At 50.3% G+C, this 23,014-nt stretch overlaps 3 protein-coding genes across 3 annotated transcripts in view, besides 4 other annotated features; 1 reads left to right on the top strand and 2 right to left on the bottom strand.

Moving 5' to 3' along the window:
• Positions 1 to 22,959, bottom strand: part of EEF1AKMT4-ECE2 (EEF1AKMT4-ECE2 readthrough) — a 43,360-nt gene extending 20,401 nt beyond the window's left edge. The window contains exons 1-2 of the mRNA NM_014693.4: positions 22,741 to 22,959; positions 14,875 to 15,158 (exon numbers count right to left, since the gene is read on the bottom strand). Of these exons, the coding sequence (NP_055508.3) occupies positions 14,875 to 15,158; positions 22,741 to 22,936 (480 nt within the window). The 5' untranslated portion in view covers positions 22,937 to 22,959. The remainder of the gene's footprint in view (positions 1 to 14,874; positions 15,159 to 22,740) is intronic.
• Positions 9,224 to 9,986: an enhancer, noted in NCBI's record as "H3K4me1 hESC enhancer chr3:183980433-183981195 (GRCh37/hg19 assembly coordinates)". NCBI's record gives its function as "activates a minimal SCP1, AML or CMV promoter by ChIP-STARR-seq in primed H9 embryonic stem cells {active_cell/tissue: H9 hESC(primed)}" and the evidence as "EXISTENCE:reporter gene assay evidence [ECO:0000049][PMID:30033119]".
• Positions 11,078 to 13,418, top strand: CAMK2N2 (calcium/calmodulin dependent protein kinase II inhibitor 2). The gene is made up of 2 exons (NM_033259.3): positions 11,078 to 11,514; positions 12,404 to 13,418. Exons 1-2 carry the CDS (start codon positions 11,346 to 11,348, stop codon positions 12,472 to 12,474), a joined length of 240 nt encoding a protein of 79 aa, NP_150284.1. The 5' UTR covers positions 11,078 to 11,345; the 3' UTR covers positions 12,475 to 13,418.
• Positions 11,872 to 12,423: an enhancer, noted in NCBI's record as "H3K4me1 hESC enhancer chr3:183977996-183978547 (GRCh37/hg19 assembly coordinates)". NCBI's record gives its function as "activates a minimal SCP1, AML or CMV promoter by ChIP-STARR-seq in naive H9 embryonic stem cells {active_cell/tissue: H9 hESC(naive)}" and the evidence as "EXISTENCE:reporter gene assay evidence [ECO:0000049][PMID:30033119]".
• Positions 12,424 to 12,974: an enhancer, noted in NCBI's record as "H3K4me1 hESC enhancer chr3:183977445-183977995 (GRCh37/hg19 assembly coordinates)". NCBI's record gives its function as "activates a minimal SCP1, AML or CMV promoter by ChIP-STARR-seq in naive H9 embryonic stem cells {active_cell/tissue: H9 hESC(naive)}" and the evidence as "EXISTENCE:reporter gene assay evidence [ECO:0000049][PMID:30033119]".
• Positions 13,354 to 13,540: a silencer, noted in NCBI's record as "fragment chr3:183976879-183977065 (GRCh37/hg19 assembly coordinates)". NCBI's record gives its function as "represses an EF-1alpha promoter that drives an FKBP-Casp9 reporter gene in an ReSE screen in HepG2 liver carcinoma cells {active_cell/tissue: HepG2}" and the evidence as "EXISTENCE:reporter gene assay evidence [ECO:0000049][PMID:32094911]".
• Positions 13,872 to 22,959, bottom strand: EEF1AKMT4 (EEF1A lysine methyltransferase 4). Its single transcript, NM_032331.4, has 3 exons — positions 22,741 to 22,959; positions 14,875 to 15,158; positions 13,872 to 14,343 (listed from the first exon to the last, which is right to left on the bottom strand). The coding sequence occupies exons 1-3, from the start codon at positions 22,934 to 22,936 to the stop codon at positions 14,056 to 14,058; spliced, it is 768 nt and encodes a 255-aa protein (NP_115707.2). The 5' UTR covers positions 22,937 to 22,959; the 3' UTR covers positions 13,872 to 14,055.

Below are 23,014 nucleotides of genomic sequence, written 5' to 3'. Positions count from 1 at the left end.
CTTTATCAGCTGTATCATCTTTATCAAGTTACTTGAAAGCTCTGACTGTTAATTTTTCTCATCTATAAAATGGGAATAATCACCCCTGTCTCAGAGAGTTGCTGTGAGAATTAAATGCAACCACATATGATAGAGCCTGTTACCTATTTTTACACTGCTCTCAGATGCACTAGGCTTGGCCTAAATGGGCATTTTCTTTTCAAGTCTCTTTCATGACCCAAATTATTTTTAGACCCGTAACCATCCCCCCCTCCCCTCCCCTCCCCTCCCCTTTCCTTCCTCTCTTCCTTCCTTCCTTCCTTCCTTCCAATTTTTAGAGACAGGGTTTGCTCTATCACCCAGGCTGGCATTATCAGAGCTCCCTGCAGCCTCAACCTCCTATGCTCAAGCGATCCTCCCACCTCAGCCTCCCAAGTAGCTGGGACTACAGGTGCATTCCATCACACCTGGCCTTTTTTTTTTTTTATACAGATGAGGTCTCACTATGTTGCCCAATTTGGTCTCAAACTCCTGAGCTCAAGTAATCCTCCTGCATTGGCCTCCCAAAGTACTGTAGGCCTGAGCCACCACGCCCAGCCCCCCATAACTATTTCCGACTACATGTTAAATACCCTATGTATAAGAGTCTTGGAGGTTGCTCTGTTTTATATTTCTATTTTCTTTCTCTGTATTTTTCATCTTTGACTCTGTTTCTCTCTTATTCTCCTATTTTCTCTCTCTCTTTTCTACTCTTCCTTTCCTACATGGATAATCTTTTTTTGATCTTTTTTCCTACATAGATAATCTTTTTTTTGGTCTTTTTTCCTACATGGATAATCTTTTTTTTTTTTTTTTTTTGGTCTAAATTGATTGTGAATTGAGAGGGAATGGACAATGGCTTGTGTGTTAAATTTACAAACACAATGTAGTCATGAAGATAACAAGAAACATCGATGAGGCCCAGTGTGGTGCTCATGCCTGTAATCCCAGCACTTTGGGAGGCTAAGGTGAGCGGATCACCTGAGGTCAGGAGTTTGAGACCAACCTGGCCAACATGGTGAAACCTAGTCTCTACTAAAAATACAAAAATTAGCCGGGCGTGGTGACGGGTGCCTGTAATCCCAGCTACGCCAGAGGCTGAGGCAGGAGAATTGCTTGAATCTGGGAGATGGAGGTTGCAGTGAGCTAAGATGGCGCCACTGCACAGCAGCCTGGGCGATAGAGCAAGACTCCATCTCAAAAACAAAAGAAACATCAAAGTCCAGTATAGATAAAGATGGAAGATATGAACACTCATACATTGCTGGTAGCTTAGAAGTTGATACAACCTTTTTGGCAATATGAATCAAAAGGTATGAAAGTGTGCATACTCTTTGACCCAGAAAATTTACTTCTAGGAAATTGTTCCAGGAAATAATCATTATCCATGGGATAGTTTTATCAATTAGCTTTTGTTGTGTAACAAATCATCTCAAACTGGATTAAAATAACAAACATTGATTATTTCTCATGTTCTGTGATTTTTTGGGATTGGCCAGCTCAGCAGGAGCTGGATGGTTTAGCATGGTCTAGAATGGCTTCATTTACATTTTTGGGCTTCAGCTGGGATGCCTGAACAGTGTCTCTGTGTATTATCTCCTCTTCCAGTAGGCTTGCCCAGGCTTCTTCATATGGTGGCCTTAAGATTCTCAGCAACAAAGAAGGGGCAAGCCCCAGTACATAAACACTTTTTTTTTTTTTTTTGAGATGGAGTCTTGCTCTGTCGCCCAGGCTGGAGTGCAGTGGCGCGACCTCGGCTCACTGCAAGCTCCGCCTCCTGGGTTCACACCATTCTCCTGCCTCAGCCTCTGGAGTAGCTAGGACTACAGGCGCCCGCCACCACGCCCGGCTAATTTTTTGTATTTTTAGTAGAGACGGGGTTTCACCATGTTAGCCAGGATGGTCTCGATCTTCTGACCTCGTGATCCACCAGCCTTGGCCTCCCAAAGTGCTGGGATTACAAGCGTGAGCCACTGCGCCCGGCCATAAACACTTTTTTTTTTTTGACACAGAGTTTCGCTCTTGTTGCCCAGGCTGGAGTGCAATGGTGCGATCTTGGCTCACCGCAACCTCTGCCTCCGGGTTCAGGTGATTGTCCTGTGTCAGCCTCCCGAGTAGCTGGGATTACAGGCATGTGCTACCATTCCTAATTTTGTATTTTTAGTAGAGACAGAGTTTGTCCATGTTGGCCAGGCTGGTCTCGAACTCCTGACCTCAGGTGATCCACCCGCCTTGGCCTCCTAAAGTGCTGGGATTACAGGGGTGAGCCAAAGTGCCTGGCCATAAACACTTTTTTCAAGCCTCTGCTTGCAACACATTTACCAACGTCCACATTGGGCAAAGCAAGTCACATGATCAAGCCCATTCAGGGCTGGAGAAATAGATGCTACTTCTTGATTGGAGGAGGTACAAAATAATGTGGCCATTTTTTTCCTACGACATTTGTTCATCACAGCACTATTTATAATCGTAAACAAAAAATTAGGAGGGAATTCAATGTTCAAGAGTAGAGGGCTTGTTGAATTAAACATCCATATGATGAGATGCTATGCAACATTTACAAATGATAGACAAGAAGAGTTTATGCTGTGGGAAAATGTTCCCCACATACAGTTAAGCGGAGGAGAAAAAGGGTTACAAAATCTCATTTTTGTTAAGCAGAAGGTATAAAAGCATAGGTTAAAAAAAAAATTGGAATTGCCAGGCACAGTGGCTCATGCCTGTAATACCAGCACTTTGGGAGGCCAAGGCAGGAGGATTGCTTGAGCTCAGGAGCTCGAGACCTGGGCAACATAGTGAGACCTCATCTCTATTAAAAATTTTTAAAAAAAATTAGCTGGGCATGATGGTATGCACCTGTAGTCCCAGCTACTCAGGGGGCTGAGGAGGGAGGATCACTTTAGCCTGGAAAATTGAGGGTGCAGTGAGCTATGATTGTGCCACTGCACTCCAGAAGGGATGGCAGAGTGAGACCCTATCTCAAAAATCAAACAAGGCCGGGCGTGGTGTCTCATGCCTGTAATCCCAGCACTTTGGGAGGCCGAGGCGGGCAGATCACGAGGTCAGGAGCTCGAGACCAGCCTGGCCCACATAGTGAAACCCCGTCTCTACTAAAAATACAAAAAATTAGCCAGGCACCTGTAATCCTAGCTACTCGGGAGGCTGAGGCAGGAGAATGGCGTGAACCCGGAAGGCAGAGGTTGCAGTGAGCCAAGATCACGCCACTGTACTCCAGCCTGGGCGACAGAGCGAGACTCTGCCTTAAAAAAAAAAAAGAAAACAAGAAAAACAAACCAACCAAACAAAAAAAGCAAAAAAGATTAGGAGTACATACAACAAAATATTAATTATAAATATATCTAGTGATGGCATTATTTTTTCTTTATGTTTTTCTGTATAATAATAACATTTCTATAGTCCAACATTTACCTAAGCAGTTTATATATATGTTAACTTATTTAATCCTTGCGATAGCCTATAAGATGGGTTCTACCAATATCATTGTCCATATTTTAGAGATGAGGAACCTAAGACACAGAGAAGCTTAATAACTTGTCCAAAGTTACAAGCAGGTAGAGGGCAGAGCCTGGATTTGAATCTAAGCTTCATGTTCTTAACTGCTACACTATTTTCCTTTTTTTTTTGAGATGGAGTTTCACTCTTGTCACCCAGGCTGGAGTGCAATGGCACAATCTTGGCTTACTACAACCTCTGCCTCTTGGGCTCAAGCGATTCTTCTGCCTCAGCCTCCAGAATAGCTGGGATTACAAGTGCCCACCACCACACCTGGATAATTTTTGTATTTTTAGTAGAGATGGGGTTTCACCATGTTGGCCAGGCTGGTCTTGAACTCCTGACCTCAGGTGATCCACCAGCCTCAGCCTTCCAAAGTGCTGGGATTACAGGTGTGAGCCACTGCACCCAGCCCACTATTTTCCTTTCAAAGGCAACTAATTTGTCTGGGGCTAGAGTATAATGTTTGATAAATGTGCTATATCACTGGTTTTAAGCCCTTAAAAAATATATATTAAGGCTGGTCTCAGTGGCTCATGCCTGTAATCCTAGCATTTTGGGAGGCCAAGACTGGAGGTTTGCTTGAGCCCAGGAGTTTAGGACCAGCCTCGGCAACATGGTGAAACCCCGTCTCTACTAAAAATACACAAAGATTAGCCAGATGTGGTAGAGGATCACCTAAGCCATGGAAGTTGAGGCTGTGGTGAACCAAGATCATGCTACTGCACTCCAACTTGGGTGATGGAACTGAGACGTTGTCTCAAAAATAATAATAATAATAAAGAAAATTAAATAATAAAATGTAAAATATATTTAAACGTTTTTATTGCAAATGTAATATACTCCAGAATTATATTGAATAAAAGATGAAATTCATTCTGTTGGGATCCTGGTACCATCCTCAGAGATAACTATCATTTGCGTTTTGGTATGTATCTTTCCAAATCTTTCTTTCTTTCTTTCTTTCTTTTTTTTTTTGAGACATGTTCTCACTCTGTCACCCAGGCTAGAGTGCAGTGGCACAATCTCAGCTCACTGCAACGTCTACCTCCTGGGCTTAAGCAATCCTCCTGCCTCCTGAGCATCTGAAAATATATGTGCTCACCACCATGCTTGGCTAATTTTTGTATTTTTAATAAAGATGGGGTTTTGCCATGTTGCCCAGGCTGGTCTCAAACTCCTGAGCCCAAGCAATCTACCTGCCTCAGCCTCCCAAAGTGCTGGGATTAAAGGTGTGAGCTACTGAGCCTGCCCAGATCTTTCTTTTATGTGCATTTATGTTCCTACATATACTGTATGTATATATGTGAATGTAAGTGTGTATACATATGTGTGTATGTGTACTTTTCCCACATATGTAAAATTCTACTCTAAACTTGTTATTTGATGACATTTTGGCAGGTCTTGAGGATTTTACCATGTCTGTTCACATAGATCTTTCTCATTCTTTTTTTTGTAATTGATATAGTTTGGCTGTGTCCCCACCCAAATCTCATCTTGACTTCCCATGTGTTGTGGGAGGGACCTGGTGGGAGGTGATTGAATCATGGGGGCAGGTCTTTCCTGTGCTGTTCTTGTGATAGTGGGTGGGTCTCATGAGATCTGATGGTTCTATAAGAGAAAATTTCCCTGCACAAGCTCTCTCACTTTGCCTGCTGCCATCCGTGTAAGACATGACTTGCTCCTCCTTGCCCTCTGCCATGATTGTGAGGCCTCCCCAGTCATGTGGAACTGTAAGTCCATTAAACTCTTTTTCCTGTATAGATTATCCAGTCTCAGGTATGTATTTATCAGCAGTGTGAAAACAGACTGATACAGTAATTTATCAGTTTCTTTTAAATAGAATGGGCCCTAGAAATACCCTCATGGTGTGGGCTTCCATCAGGTGGATAGGGTAGGATCAAAAGGCCCAGAGAAAGTCTAAGGAAGGAGAAACATGATCATGAGATATGATAGTAAAAATACTACCCCCCCAAAAAATATATACATATGTATTTTTTTTTTTTTTTTTGAGATGGAATCTCACTCTGTCACCCAGGCTGGAGTGCAGTGGCGCAATCTCAGCTCACTGCAAGCTCTGCCTCCCAAGTTCACACCATTCTCCTGCCTCAGCCTCCCAAGTAGCTGGGACTACAGGCGCCCGCCACCACGCCCGGCTAATTTTTTGTATTTTTAGTGGAGACGGGATTTCACCGTGTTAGCCAGGATGGTCTCAATCTCCTGACCTCATGATCCGCCCGCCTCGGCCTCCCAAAGTGCTGGGATTACAGGTGTAAGCCACCACACCCGGCCTATATTTTTTGAGATGGAGTCTTGTTTTGCCACCCAGGCTGGAGTGCAGTGGCCAATCTTGGCTCACTGCTACCTCTGCCTCCCGGGTTCAAGCAATCCTCCTGCCTCAGCCTCCCCAGTAGCTAGGATTACAGGCGCCCACCACCATGCCCAGCTAATTTTTGTACTTTTAGTAGAGATGGGGTTTTGCCATGTTGGCCAGGCTGGTCTTGAACTCCTGACCTCAGGTGATCCACCCGCCTCAGCCTCCCAGAGTGCTGGGATTACAAGTGTGAGCCACCACACCCAGCTTACCCCAAAATATTTCTAACAGCTTGTATTTGTTTCTTAGGGCCGCTGTAACAAGGTACCACAAACTGAGGGCTTAAAACAACAGAAACTTATTCTCTCACAGTTTTGGAGGCCAGAAGTCCAAAATCAAGGTGTTGGTAGGGTTAAGCTCCTTTGGAAGACTCTAGTAAAGAATTCTTCCTTGCCTCTTTCAGCTGCTGGTGGCTCCCAACAATTCTTGGTTTTCCTTACCTTGTAGTTCCCTCACTCCTATCTCTGCGTCTTTCATGTGGCCTTTTTCCCTGTGTGTCTGTTCTCTTCTTATAAACACATTGGTGATGGGATTTAGGGCCCACCATAATCCAGTATAACCCCATCTTAATTTATTTTTTATTTTTTTCTTTCTATATAAGACAGGGTCTCCCTATGTTGCCCAGGCTGGTCTTCAACTCCTGGGCTCATGGGATCTTCCTGCCTTGGCCTCCCAAAGTGCTAGGATTACAGGCATGAGCCACCACACCCGGCCTATATTTTTTTATTTTATTTTATTTTATTTTTTGAGACAGGATCTCACTCTGTCACAGAGGCTGGAGTGCAGTGGCACAATCTGGGCTATTTTTAGTAGAGATGGGGTTTCTCCATCTTGGCCAGGCTGGTCTTGAACTCCTGACCTCAGGTGATCCACCCGCCTGGGCCTCCCAAAGTGCTGGGATTACAGGCATTAGCCACCTAGCCTGACTGTACCTTATCTTAACTAATTGTATCTGCAAAAGCCCTATTTCCAAATAAGGTCACACTTTTTTTTTTTTTAGACAGGGTCTTGCTCTGCCACCCAGGCTACAGTGCAGTGCGGTACAGTCATAGCTCACTGTCAACTAGCTTCTGTGCTCAAGTTATCCTCCTACCTCAGCCTCCCAAGTAGCTGGGACTACAGGCATGCACCACCATGCCTAACTAATTTTTTTTTTTTTAGTAGAGATGGCGTCTCACTATATTGCCCAGGCTGGTTTTGAACTCCTAGGCTCAAGTCATCCTCCCGCCTTGGCCTCCCAAAGTGCTGGGATTACAGGCATGAGCCACTGCACCTGGCCCTGGGTCACACTTTGAGGTTACAGGTGAACATTGAATTGTTGTGGGAGTCCCTATTCAATCCACTACAGGGGTCTACAGTTTCCACTTGACTAAAAGTGTCACTAATACTCAATTGTCAAAAGGCATGTTATCTGTGTAGAGCACGTGGACAAGTATACTAGGTTTGAGGGACTTCCAATTGAGAGACTCAATGCACTGTCACGCAACTCTATACAAGCTTTATTTCATTTTAGTGAAAATGTATTTTCCTCTCATGGGAAGGAAGCAGAATATCAGAATTTTAAAGAGAGGAGCAGAATTTAAAGAAATCCCCACATTTTTACAACATAGCTGAAGCTTATATATCATAATAGTCCACAGGTTTGTACTTAGGACTTTTGCTTTAACCATGATCCAGCAGGCACGGCCGGGACGGGAATATAATTATTTAAGAAGGAGGTAACCAAGTGAATTCTGGATTAAACTGTCATTTTTCCAATCTCCCTCATTGTGCAGAGAGAAAGGAGAATTGTTTCAATTCCTCACACAATACTCTTATCTCATCCTTGGCAAGAACCCTCATGCCTCTTCTTTGGCATTTTAGGTGAGGGGCAGCTCACTACCTCCCGAGACAACCCACTTTACCCCAGGACAGTTTCATCTACAAAACTGTCCTTTTCTTTCTTTTTTGAGTCAGGGTCTTGCTCTGTCACCCAGGCCAGAGTGCAGTGGCACCATTATGGCTCACTGCAGCCTCAAACTCCTGTGCCCAGGTGATCCTTCTACCACAGCCTTGCAAGTAGCTGGGACCACAGGTGTGTACCACCATACCCGGCTTGCTTATTTATTTACTTATTTATTTAGAGATGGGGCCTAGTTATGTTGTCCAGCCTGGTCTCCAACTCCTGGCTTCAAGCGATCCTTCTGCTTCAGCCTTCTGAGTGGCGGAATTCATAGGTGTGAGCCATGAATGTTGCCCAGCAAAACGTTCCTTAATAAGTAGGTTTTATCATCCCCATGCTTCAGACTAGAACATGGGGCTTACAGAGGTATCATATCATGCAGACACATGGTGAAAAGACTAGAAGGATATATATATATATATATAGTTATAAGGCCGGGTGTGGTAGCTCATGCCTATAATCCCAGCACTTTGGGAGGCCAAGGCGGGCGGATCGCGAGGTCAGGAGTTCAAGACCAGCCTGGCCAACATAGTGAAACCTCATCTCTACAAAAAATACAAAGACTGGCAGGGCGCAGTGGCTCACACCTGTAATCTCAATACTTTGGGAGGCCGAGTGGGCGGATCACGAGGTCAAGAGATTGAGACCATCCTGGCCAACATGGTGAAACCCTGTCTCTACTAAAAATACAAAAATTAGCTGGGAGTGGTGGCACACACTTGTAGTCCCAGCTACCCAGGAGGCTGAGGCATGAGAATCACTTGAACACAGGAGGGGGAGGTTGCAGTGAGCTGAGATGGCGCCATTGCACTCCAGCCTGGCGACAGAGTGAGACTCCATCTCAAAAAAAAAAAAAAAAAAAAAAAAAAAAAAAAGCTGGGCATGGTGGCGTGTGCCTGTAGTCCCAGCTACTCGGGAGGCTGAGGCAGGAGAATCGCTTGAACCTGGGAGGTAGAGGTTATGGTGAGCCAAGATCGCGCCATTGCACTCCAGCCTGGGCAACGGAGCAAGACTCCGTGTCAAAAAAAAAAAAAAAAAAAAAGATGTTATGTGATTTTCTTAATTTTCCTAAAATTTTTTTCCTTCCTTCCTTCCTTTCTCTCTCTCTCTCTCTCTCTCTCTCTCTCTCTCTCTCTCTCTCTCTCTTTCTTTTATTGAGACGGAGTCTCGCCTCGCTTTGTCACCCAGGCTGGAGTGCAATGGCCCAATGTCCGCCAACTGCCACCTTTGCCACCCTAGGTCAAGCGGTTCTTGTGCCTCAGCCTCCCAAGTAGCTGGGACTGCAGGTGTGTGCCACACCTGGCTAATTTTTTTTGTATTTTTAGTAGAGACAGGGTTTTGCCATGTTGATCAGGCTGGTCTCAAACTCCTGACCTCAGGTGATCCACCCACCTCGGCCTCCCAAAGTGCTGGTATTGCAGGCGTGAGCCACTGAGCCCGGCCTCCTAAAATGTTTTAAGTACAAACGAATTAATTTTTTAAAACCATGATTATGGGTCCTTCAGTTCAAGGTCACTGAGAAAGTGGGAGTCAGGATTGGAACCCATTACTGGACAACTTCCAGTGTATGTGGAATTTTCTGGACTCTCTTCCAGTGACCCCAGTCTTCCGCCTTTATTGTCCTTCCAGTTTCAGGGCTCCTCTCACTCCAGGCTGGGCCTCCACCTCCAGCTGTGGCCCTCATCCCGGAGACTAGGACAGAGCAGAGGAGGGCTTCATAGTGATGGGCCCCCAGGCCTGGGCCCTTGAGTGAGGCTGGCATCAAGGTATCCTGTGGCATACCGCCCCCCCCATCCAGTTCCCTGGGCAGCCACCATTGCGTTTGTCCCTGTGTCTCCGGTATTAACACCTGGCGAGAAAGTGTTGGAAGGAGACCCACTACAAGGCAGCCTCACCAGCTGTGTGATTTGGTAATTTGGCCAGATTAAGGAAGGAAAGCGCGTTCGCCTGGAGTGTGGAATGAACGTACAGGGTGATCATTACCGTTTTCAGCGCTGCCGTCACTGTCGCCGCATGTGAGACACCCCCTCCTCCCCAAGGCCAGTGATTGCGCCAGAGCTCCTGCGCGCTGGCAAGCAGGTGACGCCGCGGGTGACGGCCAGCCAGGGCGGGGGTTGTGGGGGCGGGAGGCAAGGGGAGAAGAGGGCATGTTCCCATCGGTGAGGCGAGAACTCACCCGTGGTCCAAAGCAACGAGGGCGGGGGGCACCCTCCATCTCTACCGCACTCCCTCGGGGCACACACTGGCGCGCTCCGCGTCCTCAGGTGCTCCGAGCTTCCCCGCGTCACCCGCAGCCCAGGGCGCCCCCCGCGACGCCGCCATTCATTCCTCCTACACTGCGAGCGCACCACTCCAGAGCCGCGGGGGGCTACAGCCACCGGACTAGGGCTGGGGGTGTCTGCCCTGGTGCGCGCGCGTCGGCCCAGTTTCTATAGACCCCTCCTAGGAGAGACTGAAATACCCAGATTCAGGAGACGGAGACACTGGCACAGAGATACAGGAGTCAAGAATGGAGATAGATAGAGAAAGGCAGACACTTAAGGGACAGGCATAGACAAAGGCCATAACACAGCGAAAGAGATACGGGGCACAGAGACAGAGAGATACAGACACTTAGAGATGGACTGACACACACAAAGGCGGAGACAGAGACACAGACCGGCACTCAGAGGCGCACGGACCCTGACGATCTACTTAAGACCAGCAGAGCAACTAGTACAAGAGCGCGTCAGCGGCAAGGGCACCATCCCACTGGCCCGAGCTCTTCCCGCGCTGTGGGTTCGTGCCTTCCCCAGTCACCCTGTACCCGAGTCTCCTCCCCGCGCATTTCCCGCTCCCCGCTTTCCATTGCCAGCCCTGCGGCCGCCTTCCCGCCCCAACGCGCCCGGCCAGCTTTTGCCCTCCTGCTCCCAGTCCCCCTTGCACGCCTCTCCCAGCCTAGGGGTCAGACCCTCCTCCAAGCTCCTCCAGTACCAGGCTCGATCCCACCCCCCTTCGGTCCCGCCCCTCCCCGCGAGGTCCCGGCCGGGTTGGCTGGTACTATTCCCCAAGACCCACGTGCTGGCCATTCCCCGCCACAGTGCGGGAACCTCCCACTCCAGCTGCCTCTGTTCCCGGGGTAGCTGGGCGCGCTCCTGCCCCCGGCCCCGCCTCTTTCCCCTGGCCAGTGCCCGCCCCGCCTCCACCGCGCCCCGCCCGCCGTGCTCTGCCGCAGTCGGGCGCTCATCGTCATTCCGCTCTTGCCGCCGCCGCCGCCACCCCCGCCCCCCGCCCCCGCCCCCGCCCGGTCCCCGCCACCGCCGCCGCCGCCGCCTGCCCAGCGGCCCGGGAGGCGGAGGCGCGGGGGAGGAGGCCCCGCTTGGCTCCTCAGCCCCGGATGCTGCATGACTTCATCCTTCCGCCGGCTCCCCTGCTGAGGTAGGGCCGGTCCGGCAGCAAGCCCGCCGCCCGCGCCCCGCCGCAGTCCCGCTCCCGCCCCGCGCCCACCCCGCGCCCGCCATGTCCGAGATCCTGCCCTACAGCGAAGACAAGATGGGCCGCTTCGGCGCAGACCCCGAGGGCTCCGACCTCTCCTTCAGCTGCCGCCTGCAGGACACCAACTCCTTCTTCGCGGGCAACCAGGCCAAGCGACCCCCCAAGCTGGGCCAGATCGGCCGAGCCAAGCGAGGTACGCGGCCCGGGCCCGGAGTCGCCGCCTGACCCAGAAACCCTCCGCCGGGCGCCCCCCGGCTGCCGTTCCCCGCCGAGTGCCCGCAGCTCTTGCCGCAGACCAGCGCACCAGCCGCTCTCCAGCCCGGGCTGGAGGGGGGGGTCCCCGCTGCAGTGTGTGTCCCCCTCTTCCCTTCTCCCGGGAACACGGTGCCCCGGATTCGATGCTCGCCACCTCTGGAAGCAGAGCCCTGGCACCCGGGCGAGGGGGAGGGGCCGGTCGGGGCATTTGGGGCTGCACGGAAGTGGGAGCACGGGGTAACGGGCTGATTCTTTGGGATCAAATACTGAGTCGGTGGACAATACGAAGAACCTTCGGGTCGAGAGGGACGTCTAACAAGAGAGGGCAGGAGGCCGGGGGTCCGCTTGTCTTGGTTGTTTGCATGGGGAGGGGAGCTCTGTTGGTGCCAGGATCGGAAGAGGGGTTCCAGCGGCGAGAGGGCTCAGGTTGAGGAGAGGGCTGGACCAGCTGGATACTCGGTTTGAGCCCCATTTGAGCAGGGGGATCTGTTGAAGTGCGGGTTGAAGAGGGGGATTCCGTGAGCAAGAGGTTTCTGATCAACTCAGAGGGAGGAAGGCTCAGGTGGCAGGAGGGCTCGCACTGGGAGGGAGAATAGCTGGAGCCTTTGGAAGAGGGGCGTTCCGCCATCGGGAGGGGAGGGGGTCTAGGCTTGGCGGCGGGTTGGGTCTCCAGAAGAGTTCGGACGGGGAGGACACCGCGGCACAGGGTTCCGAGGGGCGTCGCTGGGCCACGGGCAGTAGCTGCGCGGGAAGCTAGGACGCGGGGCTCATTCTCATCGCCGCCGCCCCCCGAGGCCGCGCGGCTGACGCGCTTTCTCCCTGCGCAGTGGTGATCGAGGATGACCGGATAGACGACGTGCTGAAGGGGATGGGGGAGAAGCCGCCGTCCGGAGTGTAGACGCGCCGGCTCGGGCGGCGGGCTCCGGGCCCAGCCTCGCAGCGGCCAGGAGCGCGGGCCGGCGATGCGGCTGCCGGCGCCCCCCCGCCCCGGCCCAGGCGCCCGCGGGCGGGGGCTGCAGGGCCGTGCCGCCGCCGCCGCCAGGCACTCCGGAGCTGTCCGCTTCAGCACCACGGCGGCCGCGGTAGCGGCGGCGCGGACCCGCCCGGAACCCGCCGCCGCGCTCATGCACTTTAAAACCTCGGGCCGCAGCCCCACCCCGCACACCGGAACGGACACGGAGACCCGCGGCCCCCAGCCCCCGGCCCGCCCCCTCCCGCACGGCTCCCCTGCCCCGCCCCCCTCCGGCCAGTCTGGTCTGCAGACCGGGCGGCCGCCGGTGTCGGACCGCGCGCGGCCAGGGATGTTTGGCTGCGTACTTGCATGAGCTTTCCACCCACTTGAGCCCAGTCCTCCGGGCCGTTCCTCGCCCCCACCCCTGTCTGGCGTGACCCCAGCCTCAGCCTCTTTCTAAGGGACTTCCTCAGCACATTTGTATTTTTATATCCGACTCTTTGTTTACTGGCTCTGCTCATGGTTCCTGCCCTCCCCTCAGTCTCGGCCACGCTCTTCTGCGCCTGGCAGATAGGATGGGTGTTGAGGCTGGGATGAGACAAGCCCCCGACACGGTTACCAACCACATGGCCAGTCTGCCCAGGCCTGACCCCAGGAGGCTTTCTGGCAGACCCCTTCTCCCCAAGGTATCATCACCTTCCAAGGGCCCAGATCCGATTTTACCTTGGACCCCTGCGTCTTGCCCCTGGGAACCCAAATGGGGACTGCTCTGAACCTTTGGATGACATCTGTGGCCCCGGAGATGTTCTCAACCCAGGGGTGCCCTTCGTAAATGTTCCTCCATCCTCACTGTACCAGGAGTGTGTGAATAAACACAGACCCCCTCTGTGTGTGTGTGGCCGCTGCTTAGGTCTCAGGAGCCAGGCCAAAATGGGAGGGGGGGCAGGTACTTGGGAATCTCAGGTGCATGTTGCTGGTGAGGGACGGTTGCCAAGTAAGACAGACAGGCCAGGCTGGCCTGGGAACCTCATTATGATGTGGCCTCCTTGGGTAGAGATACAACCCAGGCGTGACTGGTCACCAGTGTTGGGGATGGAGCTAGGGTGAGAAACATAAAGCAATCTAGGTTCAAAGCCTGCAGTCTCCTGTGGATAAATCAAGGCTAGATGAGGATCAGTAACAGGCCCCAGGAACAACGGTCTCCAGGCTGGCTGGTGTGCAGAGGGGTTATGATGAGCTTTGCCCCAGGGGATGCATCACTGGTGGTTTGGTGTGGTGGCAGAGGAGGTTGGGGAACCCAGGAGAGAACTGAGGAACCCAAGAAAGAAGCAAGAAACCTGGAATCTGGATCTAGTTGGAGCTGGGCTGTATTGGTTCATGTGGGTTCGCTCCCACCCTCTATCTTAGGCATGAGGCCCCTGGGATGTAAGCACCTTGGACCCAACCCCAAGTCCTAAGTCAGGAATTCCAACTACCTGAGGAGCCCAGGGCAGAATGGCAGGAAGGGTGGAGGACCATGCTCTGGCCTCAGAGCTGAATGGCACTAAGGAAGTCCTCATGATCTGAGTCCTGAAGGAAGCAAGGTGAGGTGGGAGGTCTGGGGGGTGAGAGGATTTGGGCCCCCAGAGCCAGCTGGGCCACACTGAGCTTCCCGCCCTTGTGCATGAGGTAGAGATGGAAGTGGAAACCGCTGCCATAGGTAGCATGCCTCAGGGACCAGCCATAATAGGCTTGGGCATAGTGTCTGGTCCGAAAGTGGGGGGCAGCAGAAGTCATTGAGATAAACCGGCCTCCAGGGACAAGCACGCGGCTCACCTGCAAGGCAGACAGAGAAGCCATTGGTGAGAAGTGGATCTTCAGGTTCTCAAAGGTCAGTACTGCTCCAGATGCTCTCCCAGTCAAACCTCAGGAACCACCCCACATCTGTAGCTCAGGCTTTCCATGGCAAAGAGTGAGCCACTTTCTCTGCCCCTGGCCATTCCTTGGGATTAGGGCTATATTCTATTCAGGGAAGGGTATAGGAGTGATATCAGGTATAGGGGCACCACTTTCCTATAACTGCTCACCTTGGCAGTCTCTGTCACCTGTCAGGAACCTGGCTGCTACCTCATCCCTATGGCAACCCAGTAACCACATGTCAGCCTTTGTGAGCCTGACTACTCCAGCCGCCTCTATAAATCTCGACCCCGCTTAACCCTTCCCTCCCTTCAGAGAGCCACACTCCTGAGGGCGACCCACTACTTGCTCCAAAACATGCTTCTGGCTTCTGATTTCTTCCAGTCCCCTGAAACCTCAACCCCGCAGCCCCACCTATTGATCTGCTTTCCTCTCTTGTTGCTCCCTCACCTCACTCAACACCTGGTCCACAGTGTGGACACCTTCAGAGGACACGGTCCAGGGATCTCGTTCCCCAGCCAGCAGGGCATCCAGCGTGCCCTTCTCGAGCACCACATCAAAAGAAGCACTGGGGAAGTCCAGCTTCCGCACATCCATGGTCTCCCAGCGCAGCTGCGGCACATGGGCATGGCGAGCCTGCATGGCAGCCACCACGACTGATGAGTAGTCCACACTGGTCACATTAGGGAAGCCTCCGAGGAACAGCTCGTAGCTCAGGGCACTGTTCCCGCAACCTGGGGTGGGAGGGAATGGGTAGCAAAAGAGCTACGTTAGTTTTGGTTCTCACCTCCCCCTGAATATCCATCCACTCTTGGCCCCGTTTTCTCTCAATCCAAACCCTCTAGTACTGAGAGGAGGTGGCAGAGTGCAGAAAAAGCACAAGCCTTGGAATCGCACAGGCCTGGGTGCAAACCCTGGCTCTATCACTCCTAGCTGTGTGGGCTGGGACAAGTTGTTTAAATACTAGAAACATGGATTTTTTTTTTTTTTTTTTTTTGAGATGAATTCTCACTCGGTCGCCCAGGCTGGAGTACAGTGGTGTAATCTCGGCTCACTGCAACCTCCGCCTCCCGGCTTTAAGTGATTCTCCTGCCTCAGCCTTCTGAGGAGCTGGGATTACAGGCGCGTGCCACCACGCCTGGCTAAAACTTGGATTTCCTATTCAGAAAAATGAAGATAATAATACGTAGGCCATATACAGGATATGATGCATTAAACTTAAGAACTAAGAGCTAGGGGCCAGGCACGGTGGTTCACGCCTGTAATCCCAGCACTTTGGGAGGCCGAGGAGGGCGGGTCACCTGAGGTCAGGAGTTCAAGACCAGCCTGACCAACATGGAGAAACCCCATCTCTACTAAAAATACAAAATTAGCCAGGCGTGGTGGCACATGCCTGTAATCCCAGCTACTTGGGAGGCTGAGGCAGGAGAATTGCTTGAACCCGGGAGGCGGAGATTGCGGTGAGCCAAGATTGTGCCATTGCACTCTAGCCTGGGTGACAAGAGCGAAACTCCGTCTCAAAAAAAGAAAAAAAAAAAAAGAATTAAGAACTGTAGAGTAGCTGAAGGAGCTCTAAAGTTAGGAGTTCAGAGATTTGGGTCTGATATTCCTAGTCACACAGCCACGGCAAATCATTCAACTCTTTGAGCCTCAGTTTCCTCAAATTCAAAATGGGGATAATACTGGTATCATTAGGACCATAATATTATCAGTAGCATAATAATGATATAAATTAGTATTATCCTAATCCCCAACCTCTTAGAAAACCTTAGAAGATATCAACCCTGGGAAGGCCTCATGTTAGGGGTTATTCTACTTTGTTTTCCAAAACAGAATTAACAAGTGAAGGGGAAACTAGGTGGGGACACACAGTGGAGCTGACTAATTCCTTGCAATTCTTTTTTTCTTTTCTTTTCTTTTTTTTTTTTTTTTTTGAGATGGAGTTTCACTCTTGTTGCCCAGGCTGGAGTGCAGAGGCACGATCTCGGCTCACTGCAACCTCTGCCTGCTGGGTTCAAACAATTCTCCTGCCTCAACCTCAAGTAGCTGGGACTACAGGCACGCACCACCATGCCCAGCTAATTTTGTATTTTAATAGAGACGGGGTTTCATCATGTTGGTCAGGCTGGTCCTGACCTCAGGTGATCCACCTGCCTTGGCCTCCCAAAGTGCTGGAATTATAGGCATGAGCCACCACACCTGGCCGCAATTCTTAACGTATGTATTGAGCACTACATATTAGGCTCTGCCCATGAATAAAAGTCCCTGCCCTCAAGGAGCTCATGCTCCAGTAGGAACAAATGTGTCATCAGACAGTTGCTGCAAAACATGATGAGTGTTTCAATAGAGACAGGCTGTGAGAGCACACAGGAAGGTCTGGACCTCACCTCAGGTGAGTCAGCCAAGAGTTTCCGGGGAGCTGACAACCAAGCAAAGTCTTGAAGAACAGAGTCTTGACAACTTCCCAACACTCTGGTAGGAAGTGCCTGGAAAGCAGTCCCAAAGGGGGTAGGGTCAGGATGGAGAAGGGATAGAGGTGAGAGGAGTGGATGTGGATCTATAGTCCAATGGGCATGACTTCCTTAGAAGATCCAGTGGCCTCTTCCAGGCCCTCCTATGGCCAGTCCCAGCTTGACAATGGAGCTGGGTGACAGCTCTTGATAGCCCCACTGGGGATCTTCAGCTCTTGGGATTAGATTTCCTTTAATCCCCACTTGCCTCCCTAAGAGGATCATGGGATCAGCAGTTGGGATAGCCCTAATCTATCAGGGTTTGGCACCTGGACAATGTACCCAGAGGCAGCTGGCTGCTTGCTCCCCAGCTGCCCCTTCCCATGTTCCTCTTCAAGCCCTGGGGCTCAAGGAAAACTATCTTGCCTAGGAAAACCCAACATGTGCTACCCAAAGTTGAAGCCACAAAAAGCCATGATAGATACAGCACATGGGATGGGGGTAAGGGTGGCAGAACCTGACTTAGTTCCAGGTTGAAATCCCACTGGGTTTGCTGACCCACAATCCCTTCATTACCCCCACACCTGACCTCATATACCTGTAGAGCTCTGCCAAACTGTGGACAAATCCAGATTTCCTTCCTTTGTTCTCCTTAGTACAGGATGGCATCTTCCAAGATAACTTTACCAAAGGTGAAGGGGAAACAAAAGCTGGTCACTGGGGCAGTCATTTTTACAAGCAGTGACTTTTGATTCTGTTGACTCAGAGATTTGGGGCCAGCAACTAAGAAGGGGCTTGGGAAAGCCACTGCCTTCCAAAGTGGAGCCTGAGGGAAGTAGAGCCTTGGAGAATTGATCCATATCCAAGAATACATCACATGAGGGCCTAGAGCTGAGTGGATCCTAACTCAACACCAAGAGATTGAAATATAAGCCAGAATGCCAATTTACTAATTTATAACAAGAAAAATAGCCATCATGGGAACAGGAGTTGAATCCTCTGGCCAGTCCCTTTTCTCTTTATAGGAAATCTAAATTGGAAGTCAAATTGATTCCAAATTAAGTTTTTTTTTTTTTGAGACGGAGTCTTGATCTCCGCTCATTGCAAGCTCCGCCTCCCAGGTTCACGCCATTCTCCTGCCTCAGCCTCCCGAGTAGCTGGGACTACAGGCGCCCGCCACCACGCCCGGCTAATTTCTTTTTTTTTTTTTTTTTTTAGTAGAGACGGGGTTTCACCGTGTTAGCCAGGATGGTCTCGATCTCCTGACCTTGTGATCTGCCCGCCTCCGCCTCTCGAAGTGCTGGGATTACAGGCATGAGCCACCGCACCCGGCTGCTTCCAAATTAATTTTTGATTATGATCAAAAGATTCCAAAGAATCGCTTAAGCATAGGAGTTCAAGAGGCTGCAGTGGGCCAAGATCACACCACTGCACTCCAGCCTGGGGACAGAGCAATACCCTGTCTCTAAAAAAACAAGAAGATTCCTACAGAGCATGAAGTCAAGCAAGCATAACAAATTGGAGAAGCTCAATAACAGCAAAGTGGGGCCAGCCATCCATATACATTCATTTGCTATGAGGATGTCTCAGCCATAGGGACCAGACACACGAGTCTTCCAACAGGGTACTCTGTTCTCTGAACAGTCCTGGATAAACTGCCTCTCTGATTCCCATTTTCAATAAAAATAATAATAGCTAACAGTCATTGAACACCAAGTACTATGTTAAGCATTTATAAGAATTATTTCAGTTTACTTTCATGTTAGAGCCATATAAAGGATACTATTGGCTGGGCACAGTGGCTCATGTCTGTAATCCCAGCACTTCGGGAGGCCGAGGCGGGCAGATCACTTGAGGTCAGGAATTGGAGACCAGCCTGGCCAACATGGTGAAACCCCGTCTCTACTAAAAATACAAAAATTAGCCAGGTGTGGTGGTGGGCGCCTGTAATCCCAGCTACTCGGAAGGCTGAGGCAGGAGAATCGCTTGAACCCAGGAGGTGGAGTTTGCAGTGAGCTGAGATTGCACCACTGCACTCCAGCCTGGACAACAGAACGAGATTCCATGTAAAAAAAAAAAAAAAAAAGACACTATTATTACTATTCCCATTTTCTACATGGGAAAATTGAGGAAAGTGGTAAGAAACTTTCTCAAGGTCACATAGTCAGTGGAAGAGCCAGAATTTGGACCCAGGCCTCTATCGCTCCAGAGCCAGAGCTCTTAAACCACTGTGTTCAACTGCCTCCCAGTTTTCAAGAGGCCCACTCACCTTCAGTCGTGACATTCCATTGTTAGCTATATCCATATGACCATTAGGCTATAATTCACAATGTAGTCATTTTACCAGTTTTAAGAGTTCCAGATGCCTCCCTACTCCCATCTGTGTGGTGTCACAAAGCACCCTTACTTTACCACTTCCTTGCTGCATGACAGTAGTGGACACTGTCAGTGTTCTGACCAGATGCCCTGGGAGTCTTTTTACCGATTTTTATTTTTATATCCCTGGGTTTTGGTGTGTGTTTGCTTCTAATGGTGTACATCTGTGACTCTTCAGGCTGAAACTACCTTCAGGGAAACTTTGCTTCTTCCCTTTCTCTGTTCCCTCTAGCTCTTACCAATTCTCCTGGGAGCACATTCTTGACAAGTAACTTGGACATGAATCCTCATCTCAGGATTTGCTTCTGGGGAACTCAATCTAAGACAATGAGTGCAGGGGTTGCCAAATGCAGCTTGCCACCTATTTTGTTAGATAAAGTTATATTGAAACATGGCTATTCTCATTCACTTTTTTTTTTTTTTTTTTTTTTTTTGAGATGGAGTTTCACCCTGTCACCCAGGCTGGAGTGCAGTGGTGAAATCTTGGCTCACTGCAACCTCCGCCTCCCTGGTTCAAGCAATTAATTCTCTTGCCTCAGCCTCTGGAGTAGCTGGGATTACAGGTGCCTGCCACCACACCTGGCTGATTTTTATGTTTTTAGTAGAGACGGGGTTTCACCATGCTGGCCAGGCTGCTCTCGAACTCCTGACCTCAGGTGACCCGCCCGCCTCGGCCTCCCAAAGTGGTGGGATTACAGGCGTGAGCCACCCTGCCCGGCCATCATTCACTTTTGTATTGTCTGTAGCTGCTTTTCCACTACAATAGCGGAACCAAGTCATTGTAAAAGAGACTGTGTAGCCTGCAAAGCCTAAAAAATTTACTTGTTTGGCCATTTTCAAACAAAGTTTACAGACCCCTAACCTGGAGTAAGTCTCTTAGTACTTTTGACTTGTCTTCAGGGGTTGTCATAAGGATTAAGTAAGTTAGAAAGGGCCCAGCACATTCTCTGGCTCTTATCAGGCACTCAACTTAAGTCTGTTGAGGTGGAATGTAACGTAGAGTATTTCCCAAGTTGTGGGTCCTGTTCTTACATCTTGGGGATTCTAGAAATTCCCCTTTTGATTTTTAGACTTCTTGCCCCTCCTATCCAGAAAAGGATAGTTCCCAGTTAAGCAGATTTTTTTTAAAGCATCAGTTTGGTGAAAAACCAGTCAAGCAGATTTTAAGGCAGTGTTACTCTGCCAATCACCAGCATAAGAATCTGCTGTGAAGCTTGTTGAACATACAGATTCCTGAGACCCACATTAGACCATCCCTGGAATTAGAATCTCACAGTGCAGTCTAGTTCCCCAGGTAATTTTGATACACACTAAAGCTTGAGAAAACAGATCTAAGGTAAATCTATAAATAAGTGCAATGGTTTAAAATCACAGATTCAAGAAAGTGTTTACTTGTGGGGAGAAGGGGTTTTAGGAGGACCACACAGAGAACCTTGAATATACTTTTCATTTTGCCAGGCATTGTTCTAGGTATCCTTCATGCTCATTTAATCAACTTAAAGCCCAATTAATAAATATGCTTATGTTTTTAAGGTTGAGAAAATGGAAGCACAGAAATTCAAGTATTTTGTCCAGGATTACACAGCCAGTATAAGCCGAGCCAAGATTCCAACATAATTCACTGCCTCTGGAGTCCAAGGTGGTTTTTTGTTTGTTTGTTTTTTGTTTTGCTTTGTTTTGAGACAGGGTCTCATTCTGTCGCCTAGGCTGGAGCCCATTGGAGCCATCACAGCTCACTGCAGCCTGGATCTCCTGGCTCAAACGATCCTCCTGCCTCAGCCTCTTGAGTAACTCGGACTATGGGCACAGGCCACCATGCCCAGCTAAGTTTTAATTTTTTTTTTTTTTGAGACAGGGTCTTACTCTGTCACCCAGGCTGGAGTGGAGTGGTGCAATCTCAGCTCACTGCAACCTCCACCTCCTGGGCTCAAGTGATTCTCCTGCCTCAGCCTCCCAAGTACCTGGGATTACAGGCACGTGCCACCACACCTGGCTGATTTTTGTATTTTTAGTAGAGACGGGGTTTCACCATGTTGGCCAGGCTTGTCTTGAACTCCTGACCTCAAATGATCCACCCGCCTTGGTCTCCCAAAGTGTTGTGATTACAAGCATAAGCCACTGCTCTGGCCTAAATTTTTTGTAGAGATGGGATCTCACTATGTTGCCCAGGCTGGTCTTGAGCTCCTGCGATCAAGTGATCCTTCCACCTTGGCCTCCCAAAGTGCTGGGATTATGAGCATGAATCATGAGGCCAGCCCAGAGTCCAAGTTCTTTTCTTTTTTTTTTTTTTTTTTTGAGACAGAGTTTTGCTCTTCTTGCACAGGCTGGAGTGCAATGGCATGATCTTGGCTCACCACAACCTCCGCCTCCCTGGTTCAAGCGATTTTCCTGCCTCAGCCTCCCAAGTAGTTGGGATTATAGGCATGCGCCACCACACCCGACTAATTTTTTGTATTTTTAGTAGAGATGGGGTTTCTCCATGTTGGTCAGGCTGATCTCGAACTCCCGACCTCAGGTGATCCGCCCGCCTTGGCCTCCCAAAGTGCTGGGATTAATGGCGTGAGCCACCGCGCCCAGCCAAGTTATTAACCACTAAATTATACTTTTTTTTCTATCCCTAGTAATGTTCTATTTCTCAAACTGAGTGGAATAGACACACACATTAGATTTGTTATTTATACCTTACATATATATTACATATACCTTTTTTATTTATTAAAGACTTCACTTAAACATACAAAGGCTTTTACAAAGAGCAAAGTAAAAACGACAATTGGAAGAAAATCTGTTGCTCATTCAAACTTTACTAGCGCCTCCAAGGCTGACACTAGGAGAGAACCTCAAGAGGTCAGCCGAACACCCCAGAGCCCTACCTTTCCTCCAGCACGTCTCCCTTTGGGGAATCGTATCACCCTGGGCGGCAATCTCCCCTCCACCCCTAGAGGGTGCTGTTCTCACTCTCTAAGGCATAGGACCAAGTTTCAGACAGGACTCTCTCTAGGTGACTCTGGCTCCCAGTGCCCAGGGGCAAAAAGAAAAGCGCTGGGCATTATTCTCGAGGTGCCTGCGCGTGCCGCCTCCGATGTGAACTCGCAGTACCATTTCTAGAACTGAATCTAAAGCTCAGAACGGGTTCATGACTTGTCCTAAGTTTTACAAGTCAATTAGCGCTAGGACTTGATCTCGGTCCTCTGAGCAATCCGGTCCCCAAGGCTGCCTGCCTCCCGAGGGTCCGGACAGGGTCTTGGGTACCCCCAACGCTCAAACTCTGAGGGACTGTCTTTCTCCAGAGGGCCCCGGGACCAACAATCTCTTACTCCTGTTAGCCTTGACTAAATACAGCCGGGACTCTGAAGGAGCTGGATCTCGCGTCCCAACGCAGGCGTCCTCCAAGAGGGATAGACAGGCGGGAGGAAAGCGGACCAGGCCAAGCCCATGCGGCGCCGGTCCTGCCAGCTCTACCTGGCGGGGCCGCGCCGGGATTACCCACCTAGCACAAGGATACGGTCCTCGGGCCGCAGCTCCGGCTCTAGGAGGGCACGGAAGGAGGAGAAGTCCCCGAACCAATCGTAGGGGGCAGAATCGGCTGCGCCTTGGTAGCGCTGATCCCAGTACTCGACTTCGCGGTACCCGCAGTTCCGCTCCGGTAACTCCGGAGGCGCCCTACCTGCCCCTGGAGAGGCCATGCTCTCAACCGCCGGGCAGCCAGAGCCGCCGGCCCTTCAGCCAATACGGAAGGCAGGATGCAGAAGGCGGGGCGCTGG

The sequence above is a fragment of the Homo sapiens genome, chromosome 3 (genome assembly GCF_000001405.40).
Source record: "Homo sapiens chromosome 3, GRCh38.p14 Primary Assembly".
In the NCBI taxonomy this organism is placed as follows: Eukaryota; Metazoa; Chordata; class Mammalia; order Primates; family Hominidae; genus Homo; species Homo sapiens.
The sequence above is the reverse complement of the archived record's forward strand: the minus strand, read 5'-3'. Positions and strand labels throughout refer to the sequence as shown.

Excerpts from the sequence above, each read along its gene's own strand:
- CAMK2N2 (NM_033259.3), top strand. The coding sequence starts at position 11,346 with ATGTCCGAGATCCTGCCCTACAGCGAAGACAAGATGGGCCGCTTCGGC. Across the intron at positions 11,515-12,403 it reads GATCGGCCGAGCCAAGCGAG|TGGTGATCGAGGATGACCGG; the intron begins GTACGCGGCCCG and ends CTCCCTGCGCAG.
- EEF1AKMT4 (NM_032331.4), bottom strand. The coding sequence starts at position 22,936 with ATGGCCTCTCCAGGGGCAGGTAGGGCGCCTCCGGAGTTACCGGAGCGG. Across the intron at positions 15,159-22,740 it reads GGACCGTATCCTTGTGCTAG|GTTGCGGGAACAGTGCCCTG; the intron begins GTGGGTAATCCC and ends CTCCCACCCCAG. Across the intron at positions 14,344-14,874 it reads TGGACCAGGTGTTGAGTGAG|GTGAGCCGCGTGCTTGTCCC; the intron begins GTGAGGGAGCAA and ends TCTGCCTTGCAG.